At 33.5% G+C, this 16,166-nt stretch overlaps 1 pseudogene across 1 annotated transcript; it reads left to right on the plus strand.

The window, feature by feature from the left end:
* The first annotated feature begins 821 nt into the window (after positions 1 to 821).
* CSN1S2BP (casein alpha s2 like B, pseudogene) lies at positions 822 to 13,922 on the plus strand (annotated as a pseudogene). Its single transcript, NR_033311.1, has 8 exons — positions 822 to 878; positions 3,266 to 3,290; positions 7,127 to 7,153; positions 8,610 to 8,633; positions 8,726 to 8,770; positions 9,646 to 9,771; positions 10,382 to 10,424; positions 13,838 to 13,922. The product of NR_033311.1 is annotated as a casein alpha s2 like B, pseudogene (transcript).
* The last annotated feature ends 2,244 nt before the right edge of the window (positions 13,923 to 16,166 follow it).

Consider the following 16,166-nt stretch of genomic DNA (forward strand, 5'->3'; position numbering starts at 1 on the left):
TTTTGTATATTTGTATACAAATTAATTTTTTTTCTTACCAGGAAGTTAAGCACACTGTGGATCAAAAGCACTACGTAAAACAACTGGTAAATTTCTCATATAAATTATGATTTCAAGTAAAACATCTTATTTTGGCTGTTTCTTCTCTCAAATATTCACACAATTCATTATATCCCATTAAGAAATTTATCGGCCGGCGCGGTGGCTCACGCCTGTAATCCCAGCACTTTGGGAGGGCGAGGCGGGTGGTTCACCAGGTCAAGAGATCGAGACCGTCCTGGCCAACATCGTGAAACCCCGTCTCTACTAAAAATACAAAAGTTAGCTGGGCGTGGTGGCGCGTGCCTGTAATCCCAGCTACTCAGGAGGCTGAGGCAGGAGAATCGCTTGAACCCGGGAGGCGGACGTTGCAGTGAGCCGAGATCAGGCCACTGCATTCTACCCTGGCGACCGAGCAAGACTCCGTCTCAAAAAAAAAAAAAAAAGAAAAAAAAAAAAAGAAAGAAATTTATCCCCAATTTGTAGGAGCCTATTTTTGCTATTTTTGTTGCTCTGATTTCTGGCTATTATTTTTGTCAAATCAGTCTGGATTTATATTTTAAGAAAAATGAGTATTGAGAAATTATCCACTGATTTTGGAGGAGTTACAAATTTCAGAAAGTTTGTTGCAAGTTTAAATTACCTGTTAGATACCAATGCAGTTAAAGTATCACATTATTACGCACTCAACTTCTCTTTGACGACGGGATCTTAGATGATTATCTGAAGTGTAAACATTCTCAGGCTACGGGAGGTCATATAATCTAGGGGGTCCCCAAACCACAGGGGGTACCGGTACCGGTCCTTGGCCTGTTAGGAACCACGCAGGACAGCAGGAGGTGAGCTGCAAGCAAGCTAGCACTAGCCTGAGCTCCGCCTCTGTCAGATCAGCGGTGGCGTTAGATTCTCAGGAGAGCGAATTGTATTGTGAACTGCGCATGTGAGGGATCTGGGTTGTGTGCTCCTTATGAGAATCTTTCTAATGCCTGATGATCTGAGGTAGAACAGTTTTATCCCGAAACCATACCCCCGCCCTCATCCGTGGAAAAATTGTCTTCCACAAAACCAGTCCTTGATGTCCAAAAGTTGGGGACTCCTGATGTAATCCATCGTCTGCGGATTAGAGAAGTTTGCTTCCTGTGTAGGGAAAGCGCATGGATTTTGGTGTCAGGCAACTTGTATTCCAACTCCAGCTACACGAGTTACTACTTAACCTCTCCAAGCTCCAGTTTCCTTAACTGAAAATACGGAGAGCTGCATTAACCCTGCAAGATTGTATTAGATGATATACATTTAATTTATACAAAAATTGCTTGGAACACAGTAAATTCATCTAAAAATTTGGCAATTATCTTATTTCAACACAGAGCAGACATGCTTTCTAAAACCTTTATAATAGAAACACCTGTTTTGAACACTTAAAAATGGAATGCTCCAAATAAAACCTGTCTTTTTAGGAATTTAGATCGTTACTAACTTCCACGTTGCTATAAATATCTTTCTTACATTTTGTCAAAATACTTCCAGCAACATTCTCATTTTGTACCTCTCTTAACGTAACCATGGATTCATCCAACAATTCTAAAGACCCGTTGACTTTCTACACACACTTATTTTTCACTCTCTATTAAATGAAAATTCTCCTGAGGAAAAAATGCTTTGTGGTTTTATATTTAATCCCTAAAAATAATCTTTGCAAAATCAGTTCAAAGACGCCGGAGCTTACTAGAACACTTAGTTACTAGGCAAACTTCTCTTTATAGTTTAACAGATATAATCCCACATGATAAGTAATGCTCAAACAGTTTAAGCAATTTAATCAGGGTCGTGGATTCCAGTGCCCTGGGTAAAGAGAATGAAAGTTCATTTCTGACTCCAAAGACAAGACTAACTTCCAACACACATGGAAAAGGAATAAGTTGAGACATGTACCTTGTGATTGTTTTCTTTTCTTTTTCTTTCTTAAACATACTTTTCTTCCCCACATAGATAATTTTCTCCCGTGGTCTTACTTAATTTGATAATTTTTAAATTCTGCAACAGTTAAGGTAATTTTTATGTATGTAAACTATTCTTTTTCTAAGCAAATTTGCCACCAATTATAAATTTTCTAATTAAAGTTCTAATTCATTCAGTTTTGCTAACATTTGCTTTGACTCATGAAGGATATAAAATGTTGGAATAAATATTCATAATTTCCTTTCTCTCTAGAACAAAATCAACCCATTTTATCAGAAGTGGAACTTCCTCCCATTTCTTCAGGTTCCTTATCAACATCAGATTTTTATAAACCCAGGAGATCAGCATAAGACAAGTGTCTACCCCTTTGTTCCCACTTAGTAAGTTTTGCATTTTTAAGAGGCGAGGGGTACAGGATAAAAATATATACAGTGGCCAGGCTCAGTGGCTCAGGCCTGTAATCCCAGCACTTTGGGAGGCCAAGGCAGGAGGATCACCTGAGGACGGGAGTTCGGGACCATCCTGGCCAACATGGTGAAACCCTGTCTCTACTAAAAATATAAAGATTAGCTGAGGGTGGTGGTGCGTGCCTGTAATCCCAGCCACTTGGAAGACTAAGCCAGGAGAATCACCTGAACCAGGGGGTTGGAGGTTGCAGTGAGCCAAGATCTGCCACTGCACTCCAGCCTGGCAACAGAGCGAGACTCCCTCTCAAAAAAAAATACAGTAACTCGAGGCAAAATACACCCAAAAGTTCTAACTTTAAAATAGGGCAGTCCAAATACAATAACAAATAACAATAGTAGCAATAGTGACAAATAAGTACTAATTTAATTTAAATTTAACATACATGTCCTAAGTGTTTGCTCATATATCATTTCACTTGGTCCTTCAAATAATTCTTTCATGTAGGGGGGAGGATAGAAATCAGTACCTTCATTTAACAAAGGAAATGTAATATGGGGAAATGTAAGGAAGTACTTGCTCAAACGCCAAGTAACCATTTCCATTTTGTTTCATAAAATGAATTTGTTTTAGGGAACTTTTTCTAATATGAGCAATAAATAACACAAGTTCTCCTCAGCCTTTTGATCAAATCATAAAATTAAAGGTTTTTTGTCTTGTTACAGGACCAGTAAATATAGCCACCCAATAAAAAGCCTAGTTTGATTTCCCTTATTTCATCTCCGGGAATAATTAAAAGTCCAAAGAAAGGGAAAAATAAAAATTTTATAAGTAATTAAACATACTATTTATATTTTTTAAGGAAAACTGCCGGCATCTCTCAGAAAGTAAGTACAAACCACTTATATTAAATATATTTAAAGAACTACTTTTTATTTATCTATTATGACTTGCTTTTTATTTATAACAATGTATTATTTATTTTGTGGAAATATAAGGAGAAAAAGGATGTAGTTATACATACCAGTCAGGTAAAATGTATTTATGTATTTACTGGTTCATTGATGAAATATATCTTAGATGCATGTGCATTATTTTTTTACCAATCTTATTCCTTATAAGTATCTTTTTAAATAAGTATGAAAGAGGTAATGAATGGATGTCAAGAGGGTCCCAAGAAAATATACTTGTGTGCCATTTGTGAAGCACATTGTCAAAGTTAGATATTCTTGAAAAGATTTCTTGTTAGTTTTCCATCACCTTTCTATCACCAATTGGTTGCAAGTTTGTCATCAAATGCTGGACTGGCACTATATTCTTCTTGAATCAGTAGATACATTTTTTTTTTATTTCTTTCCAAGAATAAAGCCCCTCACTCCAAACCTATGAGGACCCTCACTCCAAAACCTAAAAGATGAAACAATTTAATGACACTGTATTTGAGAAAACCAATAGTCAAGCACATTTGGAAACAGTATATAATATCAACTCATATAATAAATAACATGATTTTCTGTATTCTTTAAATTTATTTACTATATTAACTTAAATTTGTCACTGCTAATATAGATTATTATTTCATTGTTAGAATATAAATTAAAAATATTCTGTATATAAAAAATATGACAGTTTTAGTTTGGCATAAAGATTCTGCTATTTACATAGGGAAGCCCTGCAGAGTTAATTGGTTAACAGACCTGGGACAGTGTTCCTATACCAATGAACAGACACCAAACGTGCTATCATCTTTCTCTACCTCCCTTCCTTTTTGCCCCATTGATATAGGAAAGCTAGTTTCCGTTTTCATATTAGCCTGTAATTTCTAAGGGAAAGTAGTAGATCTTAATTTGATGCTAATGGAGAGTTTGATAAATAGGAAATAGGAAAATTTCACTGTTTTGTAAACATCTGCATTTTTCTTAAAGAAAGAATTATTGAATTTATCTAAGTTTTATAGGGATGTTTGAACACATAAAAATTTAAAAACACTTACTGAGATATATCCTCACTATCAGAATTAAGATATTTTACACTTTTGCCAATAATATGGAAGCATAGCAGATGATGTGTATGTGAGAGTATATGCATCTATATGCATAAGTACATTTATATATCTTTCTTAGAATACTTATTTTACACTGACTTTTCCCTTATGCTACAGTACTGATGATCACCAAAAAATTGAAAACATAGGAAACCGGTGATAATGAAAGCAAACAACTACTTTTGTCATAATTTTATGAATAATCAAGTAAAGGAGGTTTAAACTTGCATGAATCAACTAACCAAACTAAATTTGCCAGTTCCCATGAGAAATGGAAGCTTAATCAGTTAGTGGTTTTCATTCTTTCTTAAAATTTTTTCAGTTAATTCCACTGTATACATCTTCATTGATACATCTTCATAGTTTCCTATTGATAAATGTTGTTTCTATTTTTTAAATTATAAAAATAACATACTAATATTCTTATAATAACTTATTTTATACATATATGAATATATTAATAGGAAAAATTCCTAAAAGTGAAATTTTTTAGTTAGAGGATATGTACATGAAATTTTTATAATATTTTTATCACAAACTTTAATACCATAAATTAATATGTAACACATATGTAACTACAAATTATGAGTATCATAATTAATACTTATAGTTCTATATTTTATAACAGTTTTATTTCATACATATATGATCCTAAACACTATTTAATTTTGTGTGTGTTTATTTCTCTTTAGAACATTCATTTTAGACAATAACATTACTTTTAATAAGGTTAATATATTAAGTAATAAATTGCTTTTACCACACAGTAAGTTCTCATAGTTAATGTTAGACTCTGAATATGACAAGATGATATCGGAAAGATCCTAAGGGACTTATTTCCTATTGAAAATCTCCTTCAAGTAACTCATATTAGCATTTAGATTGGGCTTCATTTCTTTTAAAAAGCATACAAACCCTGAATTTCAAAGTAGTTTCTCTATGTAGTTTGGTTTGTTTTTAAGATTTACAAGGACTAGCATACTTTATGTAGCCTCTTTGGTGTTGCATTTTTCACTCAACAGATTTCTAGCACATTTATCCATATTGTCACTTTATCCATATTGTTACAGCAGGTATAATCTACCTATTTACACTGCTAATGATATTCCACAATTCAGTCTTCTATTGCCCTATACTTAGAAGGCATTTGGGTTGTTTAGGTTTAGTATATTTATTTTTAGTTTTGGTAGGTATTTTCAAACTATTTTTCTTTGAGGTGAAATAAAATTTTTTTCCAACCACTAATAAATGGGAATTTACAGTAGCTTTTTGCCCGAGTGGTTGGCATTTCTGATGCAACACTCTACATCTCGAAGCAGTTTTAGAAACTCATTCATGGGCATTATGCAAGAGAGACCAGAAGGAGACCTCTGCTCCAGGCAGGCCTCAATGGGAGCAGTGACAACCCAAGACCACCCCATCAGACAATGCCAATCTGGGAAGTTTATAGATAGCTGATAGATTTATTTTATAACCTGGCAAGATCTCCACAGCGTGATTTTTCATCTTGGATAGTTTTCTGAGTTTGTTACAGGGGCAGTTGAAGAGATGTTTCTGCCTCTGAAGGTATTCATTGTGACACAGAGAAAAAAAATAAAGTCAGACTTGACACTGAGGTTAAGAAGCAAGGAGGAGGTCAGGTCCTAAAAGGAAATCTTGCCTGTGATCAGCAAAGAGGCAGCAAGGTATCTGAGACAGCCCTCGCCCTACCCTTGGACAGAGAGGGAATTTCACGTAGGAGGGGAGGAAAAGAGAGATCGGAGTCCAGATATGTTGTTAATGATCCTCCAAAGGGCATTGCTTCTCTGAATCCAGATCCTCTCTGGGAAGGGAATCTTCTAAATTAGTTTTTTGCTTTCCTGCAAGTTTTCATTCTTGTAAACTTTTAAACTTTTCAATTTGTTTTTTCCCCTTACCTGTTCTCCATCCAAGCTATTATTTATATAATATTTTTCCTGAAATTATGCTTTTTAAAAACTTGTTATTGCTAATAATAAGAAATGTTAGGCCGGGCACGGTGGCTCACGCACTTTGGGAGGCCAAGGCGGGTGGATCACCTGATGTCGGGAGTTCGAGACTAGCCTGGCCAATATGGTGAAACCCCATCTCTACTAAAAAAATACAAAAATTAGCCAGGTATGGTGGCAGGTGCCTGTAATCCAAACTACTCGGGAGGCTGAAGCAAGAGAATCACTTGAACCCAGGAGGCAATGTTTGCAGTGAGCCAAGAGAGTACGGTTGCACTCCAGCCTGGGTGACAAGAGAGAGACTCTGTCTCAAAAATTAAAAAAAATAAAAATAAAAATAAAAGGAATGTTATATATACTTCACTCAACTCACAAGTTTGATTATATATATATATATGTTTTAAATAAACATGCAATTATTAAAATTATTTAAATGAGTTGCCTAAAAGCATGTGCTTTCTCAATTACTCTTGTGAAATATTCATTCATTCAATTATTTATTTAAGAAATATTGTATTTAGCAAATACTATGTCCCTTACATGTTTCCACATCTTAGAGATAAAAAAGTGATTAAAAGAAGCATTACAGATAAATTTATTTTTATTCTTCTTCTTTATAAAACAGTAGTTTTTCTCTATACATCTAAGAGGCAATTGTGTATAATCAATACACTGAGAACAATGTGTCTAATTCTTGTTTTATTCCTTTAAGGAAACACCAAAAAAGACTGTTGATATGGTAAAGTATTGTTTCTATATGAAGCTGTATTTGACTCAAATTTCTAAAAACTAAACATTAAAATATTAATATTCCTGAAATTCTCTTTTAGTAAAATTGAATGATATTTTAGTTTACTTAAAAATCCTCTTTACTCCTTAACTGTGATTTTCTCAATTGACCTTAATTTTTTTCAGTCAAGACCTTCCAGGTTAGCAAGATCTCTCCACATAGCCTAAGTATTCTATGTTTTTTGCTGCTTCTTTCTTTTTTTAAAAAACAGATTTCTACCATTTTTTGAACTGAGAATTTTATTGCAATAAATCTTTTTCACCTGTCATAATAATACCTTTGTTGTAATATAAAAAAGATCTTTTGTCCACAAATATTAAGAATATACTGCTAAGTATTCAATTGCCCTGATTCTAAAATTTTGATTATTATACTTTTTATTTCTCAAATAATGTTCTAGTAAGTTATCTCTGGTGAGGAAAATGATAATTTTAAAATCAAACAATTAATGAATTCATTGAGAAATACTCTGTTTCTTGCTGTTGACTAATTATTTTAAGTAAATTAGGTGTTATGCTATTGACATATCGAATGGAAATAAAGGAAAACCCTTGTAAAAAATACACAGTCTCAAAGTCATTTTAGAGGTCTGGAATGAACCATCTACATGGTCAAGAAGTAGCTGTTCTATCACACACTTTCGGATAATATATGTCTGAACTCTGTTACATTGGAAAAATGAATTTTTAAAATAAGCCAGCCAAATCAGGATTCTGTCAGTTGCCTTCACTGTAGTTTAATATCGTTTAGGAGTTGAATACTGGACTGGGTTATAAGTTATGTAAATCACAGGTTCAGGGAACACCCACTGTGGGAGAAAGTGCCAAGTGGGAGAGCACAATTGGAAAGGGTCTTCAGAATATGAAGTATAAATTGTGGCACAGGATCTTGTGGCCTAGGGCCCAAAGCAAGCAAGATCTTCCTTCTTAGTGCCTTGAGAAGCATGTTTTACCCTTTCTCTCCACCTCAAACTGTGGGCCTATGGACACTAATATAAAAAACATTGGTCCTCCAAGAAAGAACATGCAGACTTTGCCACACACCTCAGTAGGCTTAATTATTTTTCCTCTCTCTCTCTCTGTCTCTCTCTCTCTCTCTTTTGCATCTGCCCATAGTACACAGAAATTTGACATTATATGAACATGTAGGTAAATGGAAAATATGAAATAAAATGTATTTTCAGTCAGGTACCATTATGTTGACACAGGACATGTCCTTTTAATGAATACTTACATTCATTTAATTCAGAATAGATTTCTATAAAGTAGGACTTTGTTTCTTGGTAGTAACAGCTTGGCCCTGAATTATTAAAATAATTAGCCTTAATTCTATATTATTATGATATGGACAAAAATTACTATTGGGTTATCCAAGTGAGGTTATTTTTTCATTTTCTTTCCCTAAGGAATCAACTGAAGTATTCACCAAGGTAAGTAAGTTTTGTTCAAACAAAATTAATAAAATATAATCTCAAAACATTTTCTTCTGTATTTTATGACCATTTATTTTTGTTATTAACAGAAAACTGAGCTGACTGAAGAAGAAAAGAATGACCAAAAACATCTGGTAAATTTTCCATACAAACATAGCACAATTAGACTTTACTTGGAAACTGCCTAGTTGCAATCCTCTTGACAAAAAAAAAAAAATACTATGTTTACCAAGTTCTAATTTTTATAAAAGCCTTCCTTATAGTTTTAAAAATGGTTACAGAATGATTCCCCAACTGTACCACTTATATTATTGCTAAGTATCCACCCAACAATTATTCCATGGCAATTGTAAAATTCCATTGATTTTCCACTTTGTAAAAATGAGAACTTAGCTTAAAAGAAGATGCCACTGTATTTAATTCCAATTTAAATCCCTACAATAATCTGTGGCTAAATCTATATAGATAAATAGAACATAGAAGAGGGGCATATGTACTCATAATAAAGTATATGGGATGCATTATACAAATAAAGTGCTCTTTCCATATTAATTCATTTACTTCTACAAGATAAATAACACTCAGAGAGATTAACTGGCTCAGTGTCATAGATTCCACTAAGTTAAATCACATATTCTATATGACTCTGAGGACCAGCGTTTTCCTACCAGAAACAGAAAATAAACCACAACTGGGGACACTTATCTTAGTCAAGAAATTATCTTCTTGCCTTCTTACATGTATTTTTAATTTTATTTTTCCTTGTTTTTGATTTCTTTCACACAAGCACTGTGGCTTTGGGGTCTGAATTAACCAAATAATTTTCTTACTTCTACAGTTAATTCTGTAAATGTAAGCATAGAGTTAATTTTGTATGAATAAATTTTCCTTTAATTAAGTTCATTTGGTAAAATGTAGAATTTATCCAAATAGAGTTTTGATTTATTTGGTTATGTTCAGGTCTCTCTGATTCTGGGATATTGAGATAATTCTTTATATATTTTTCTAGAACAAAATCAACCAGTATTATCAGTTCACCTTGCCCCAATATGTAAAAGCTGTTTATCAATATCACAAAATTATGAAACCATGGAAAAACATGAAGACAAATGCTTACCAAGTTATCCCCACTCTGGTGAGTGCTCTCTTTTTATTTGCAACTTAAAAATAGTTATCTGTTGTGCTAAAAGTAAGCTAGGGGGATGAAACTGACATAATCCCAATAAACTCAAGTAGAAGTTGAAACAAATAAAAATGCCTAAGCTAAAAATTAAATAATAAATCATATGCAAATACAGCATAATAAATAAAAATAATAATGTTACAAAAGTAGATGAAATTGTAAAAAGTAGCTGGACCAAGTTCTAGTTAACATTTATCCTTTATCTTATTTAAAAAAAAAAAAAGAGATTTGACCTAGGGAACATTTCTTCTAACATGAAGAATGAATGAGAGAACAGGACATTGAACCCACAGAACTAAAATGTATTATAAACAACATGGGTTTTGGAATCAGAAGACCTAATATAAATAGGCTTTTGAACATAGGCAAGTCACATCATTTCTCTGGAATTTTTTAATATGATTTAGTTTTTTAGATATGCATGTAGCATTTAAAAGTGTCTTCCATATAATTTTAGAAAAATCAGAATTTAGTACCTCTGATTTGCATATGAGATGGAGATTTGTTCCTATACATTTTTTAAATAAAATTATTCATTTTTTTCTCTTTTCTCTTCAAACAGGGATCTTTAAGATTCTTGAATTAACTGCTCCTACTTTACTTTGGTAAGTGCCTTTCCCCCTAGAATTTAAGCAATAACTTTTATGTGAAGAAAGTGATATTAAATAATATTATTAAGTAATATACTTCCAACTTTAATTAAATCATATTTTCATTTATAAAGTGTTTTAAATTTTGCTTTCATCTTTTTGACTCACAAATGTAAGTTGTCTGTGTAATTTGCATGCATATTTCATAAATATTTTAAATATAAATTATAGTACATTTCCTCCAAAGCTAATGATACATTCAAGCCAGAAGGAATGACTCTGAGTGAAAATTGTCACAGGCATAGTGTTCACACAGGTGATTTCCTGTCATCTTTGAGTTGTGCCAAGAAATTCAGACCTGGCTCTTTGGTTTGAGAAAAGATATATAATATCAAGAGAGTTTCATACACAATTCAAGCCATTTAAGACAAATTTCCTGCATCATTTTCTCTGGAAAAATTAATGTTTTCTACAAAAAAAAATTGCTTATTTTTTAAATTTCTCTCTTTGACAATTTATTCAATGGATTCAGAACCATGGTGGCAACTCAAGAAAATTGTAATGCCCTTTGTGTAGTCATGTTTTATTTTTCTTATTTTGCTCTTACAGCATTCAGGTTTATCTCCTATCCTAGAATTCTGTCTCATTTAATTCAAACGTTTTGCTCTTTTTATATGTCCCAAACGCAAATTTCTAACGTGACAAAGTAGGTTTCAAAACAATGAATAATAATAGTAATAATAATTTATCAAGAGCATATAGTGCACCAATTACAATTCTAAGCCCTTGCCTGTATTGACTAATTTAATGTTCACAAAAAACCTATGAAGTAGTTAATACTATCAGCTGATTTTTTTTCCATAAGTTATTGGGGTACAGGTGGTATTTGGTTACACGAGTAAGTTCTTCAGTGGTGATTTGTGAGATCCTGCTGCACCCATCACCCGAGCAGTATAGACTGCACTGTATTTGTTGTCTTTTATGCATCCCCGCCTCACTCTTCCCCTCAAGTTCCCAAAGTCCATTATATCATTCTTATGGCTTTGCATCCTCATAGATTAGCTCCCACATATCAGTGAGAACATACGATGTTTGGTTTTCCATTCCTGAGTTACTTCACATAGAATAATAGTCCCCAATCTCATCCACATTCTTGCAAATGCAGTTAATTCATTCTTTTTGTGGCTGAGTAGTATTCCATCAGATATACATACCACAGTTTCTTTATCCACTCGTTGATTGATGGGCATTTGGGTTGGTTCCACGATTTTGCAATTGTGAATTGTGCTGCTATAAACATGCGTATGCAAGTATCTTTTTCAAATAATGACTTCTTTTCCTCTGGATAGATGCCCAGTAGTGGGATTGCTGGATCAAATGGTAGCTCTACTTTTAGTTCTTTAAGGAATCTCCACACTGTTTTCCATAGTGGCTGTTCTAGTTTACATTCCCACCAGCGGTGTAGAATTGTTCCCTGATCACCGCATCTATGCCAACATCTACTGTTTTGATTCTTTGATTAGCAAATAAAAACATAAAGTGGGGAAAGGACATGCTTTTCAACAAAGGACATGCTGGTACAATTGGCTGGCCACATGTAGGAGAATGAAATTGGATCCTCATCTCTCACCCTACACAAAAATCAAATCAAGATGGGGACTTAAACCAAAGACCTGAAACTATAAAAATTCTGGAAGATTGGAAAAACCCTTCTAGACATTGGCTTAGCCAAGGATTTCACGACAAAAAACCCAAAAGCAAATGCAATAAAAACAAAGATAAGTAGCTGGGACCTAATTAAACTAAAGAGCTTTTGCATGGCAATAGGAACAGTCAGCGGAGTAAACAGACAACCCACAGAGTGGGAGAAAATCTTCACAATCTATACATCCAACAAAAGACTAATATCCAGAACCTACGACGAAGTCAAACAAACCAGTAAGAACAAAACAAACAATCCCATCAAAAAGTGGGCTAAGGCCATGAATAGACAATTCTCAAAAGAAGATAAACAAATGGTCAACAAACATATGAAAAAATGCTCAACATCACTAATGATCAAGGAAATGCAAATCAAAATCACAATGCCATGCCACCTTATTCCTGCAAGAATGGCCATAATCAAAGTATCAGTTGATTTGAGATGAAGAACCTGAGGTGGAATGGAGGTTAAATAAATTGCTCATGATAATCCTGAGAAAATAAAAAAGCCAAAAAAAAAATCGAATACAGATTTCCAGCCCAAGGGCTCAAACGCTCTTCCACCAATGCCGAACTGCACCCGAAAGGCCACGTTAAGGTTTTTTTGAGAGGATATTTTCTGACTTTGAGTACATTGTTACAAACTTGATTTTCTTTATTATGTTATTTTGGCCTTCCTAATAATGAAAAAGGGTCAGGCAACTTCACAAAGTAATCTCATGTGACAAAAATAATACCATAATTGTTATGGATAAGAGCTAAAAATACAGTTGTGTTTTATAAATAGTAACCTTTTTTACTGTCATTATTCACATATTTATTCCACTTTTTTTTTTTTTTTTTTTGAGACGGAGTTTCACTCTTATTGCCCAGGCTGGAGTGCAATGGCGCGATCTTGGCTCACTACAACCTCCACCTCCTGGGTTCAAGCAATTCTCCTGTATCTGCCTCCAGAATAGCTGGGATTACAGGCGCCCGCCACCACGCCCTGCTAGTTTTGTATTTTTTTTTTTTCAGTAGAGACAGGGTTTCAACATGTTGGCTAAGCTGGTTTTGAACTCCCGACCTCAGGTGATCCGCCCGTCTTGGCCTCCCAAAGTGCTGGGATTATAGGCATGAGCCATGGAGCCCCGCTTTATTCTACATTTTTTAAAAAGCTTATCATATGACCCGTAATGCCAGAGACCTGAGAGATACAGAATTATGATACTACATTTACCTTCATTAAGTCCTTTTCTGACAAAGACACAGAAATGACAATATAATGTGCTAACTGCTAATTAGAGATAGAAGGATATAATAATACAACAAGGTCAAGTGATGAATCAGAGATAAAATATAAGGCAGAAGGTATTGAATTGACAGAAAAATTACAAAAGAAACAGAGAAGCCAAAAAATGTACAGTGCAATTTGAAGAATTTAATTTTAAAATGATTTATTGAAATATAAGACCCCAAAGTCATTGTACATAAAACATTATTTTACCGAAATCTACATTCCAATTAGATCAAAAGGCTTAAATTATAGGAAGCAGTAATATCTTATATGCCTAATAAGCAACTTAGAAAATAATAATATAATAATATAACAATAATAATAAAGTGTTCCTTCAAAATTGGCTGAAAATATACATATGTACCATTAATAAATAAAAATGCTATTTTTGTATGCTAGATTGAATAAGCTTGCTATTAACTCTCATTCACTAAACTGTTTATCTTATCAGGAAACAATTTCTCCTTCTACCTCATAGACTGTATTGACTCCATCAAGCATGAACACAGATAGTTATTAAAAATCTTATTATGTGCCATGAATTATCTTAAGCATGAGAAAATATTAACTCATAATAGTTATAAATAACATTCTGCCAGACTAAGATGGACAAGTGTGTGTGTTCTGTACATAAACCAAAACTATCTTCTGTAATATATAAGTCCAGTATTGCTTTTTTTTTTTGCTTTTTTTTTTTAGATTTACCTGGGAAATCTACCTTTTTTTTAAGGTTTGCCTGGAAAATCTACCATATTACTTCATACTACCAGCATGTTTGGACAGGCTTATGGTGAAGGCGGGAATACTGAGTCAAAGAAGACTGCAGAATATTTCCTGAATTGTGTATACCCTTCCCAAGAGTTAATGTTGAATATGTTGGGTTTGCATTGTGGTTTCATTAGGTTGATGATTACTTAAGATGTTTTTACCACTGTTTCTGAGTTACAAAAACACATTTCTTTTCCCCTCAAAATAAAATTTCAAGTGATTCATTGGTGTATAATCAGCATTTTTATTGTTCATATTGACCACCGAGGCTACTGATGCTAATATAAGTAGTTATTTAACAATTAATTTTAAACTAGCTTATCTACTACCAAAATGCTTTATATACACTTTCTGGACACTTCAATTTTACTTATCATAACCAATAATCTAGAACACTACAAGTTTTATATTCTCCCACCACAGCTTGGCTCACAGAACTACTTAGCCATGCTTCTACCATCTTTCTGATTTATTCATGCTTATAATTTGCCACAATTTTAATCTCAAACCTTCACCAGAGCCCTCAGTCCTCCTCTCTCAGTCCACCTTGTCAGACTAAAGTATGGAGTCAGCCACTAAGACCATAAACCTTTCAAGATTCCTCATTAATGGTGTAACCAAATGAAGAAAGAGCAAAAGCAAACACATGGGTGCATACGTGGGCTCCAAGGCATACTTGGGCTGCAAGGGAGTCAGCACGTCCTGAGAAGATGGAGGGATGGGGAAAGCTATAAGGAAAGCAGATCAGGAAGGAGGGGATAGGGATGAAAGTTATTTGTTAAGCATTTGGTTGTAATGGGAAGACATTACAGGAGTTTCCATTGGGGAGTAACATTATATGATATATGTCATCGATGAGTGAAAAACTTCAAATTTTGAAGACTTTATCTTTGACTCCATAGAATACGTCAATCCTTTATAATTCCCATTGTATTCCATTCTATCCAATTCCTCTTAGCGCTACTTCTTTTCTTATTCAGACTGAACATTTAAGGGATTTTCAGAAGCTGACATATGACATATATTTTGAAAAGGTAGAATAAGCAGAAGCCAAGAGAATTTTTATCTTTCCTCATAGAATCCATTCACCCCACTCCCATCCACTAAAATTCTGATTACATTTCATTCTTTCTACTCTCTATTGGACTCACTTCCTTTCTTACACAGCCCAGACTTCATGCTTCATTATTTTAAATATTATCTTGATAGCTCATATAATTTTTCTGCCCCCCTACACTTAGCCAACCTTACCTGGAAAACACGCAACCACGTAAAACTCTGAATTTGATTTCTACTGCCATTCCACCAAAACAGATGAATTTTAAGTAAGTTTATGTTTTTTAAACTGTGTTGGTAACCAAAGACATCTTATCAAACTCTTTTTCTTGTTGACATTAGTGTTAACTGCCTTTAACTCTCCTTAAACTTCAAACTTATCTCACCAGAAAACAATTTTCCTTTCTACTTCATAGACAATACTGAGTCCATTGAGCATAAATACTATCCACTTCTTAGTAGGACACATCAATAATTTTATCTAAATCTGAGCACAATTTTAGTTCTCTCAAGTTTTAAAGGATATATGACCTTCTTTCAGTTCAAAGCTAATAGCTCTTTTGACTTTTTAAAAAGTTCCTCTGTAATCTATCCTTTTGATAATGTTCATTGTAGCAAAAGTAATCGTGATAGTTTTAATGCCTAAAATTGAATGAGCAGCTATGTGCAGGGTAATTTATATCTTTGTCTCAATTAGCCTTACTATTAAATTTGCTATATTATCAATGTAACTATTATTATTATATTATTAAATATAATACATATTATTTTATTACATTATTATTTTTAATAAATGTGAGCATTGTTTCCACTTTGAATATCCAGTACTCAAAACATTATCGGATATTCAGATGAATTATGAGGTTATTCCATATATTTTAGGCCTAATAGTTTGTTTTCATAAATTAAGCTAGAACATAACATTTAGTATAGCTCCTTTTTGCCATTAGAACACA

Source organism: Homo sapiens, chromosome 4, assembly GCF_000001405.40.
Source record: "Homo sapiens chromosome 4, GRCh38.p14 Primary Assembly".
NCBI lineage: Eukaryota > Metazoa > Chordata > Mammalia > Primates > Hominidae > Homo > Homo sapiens.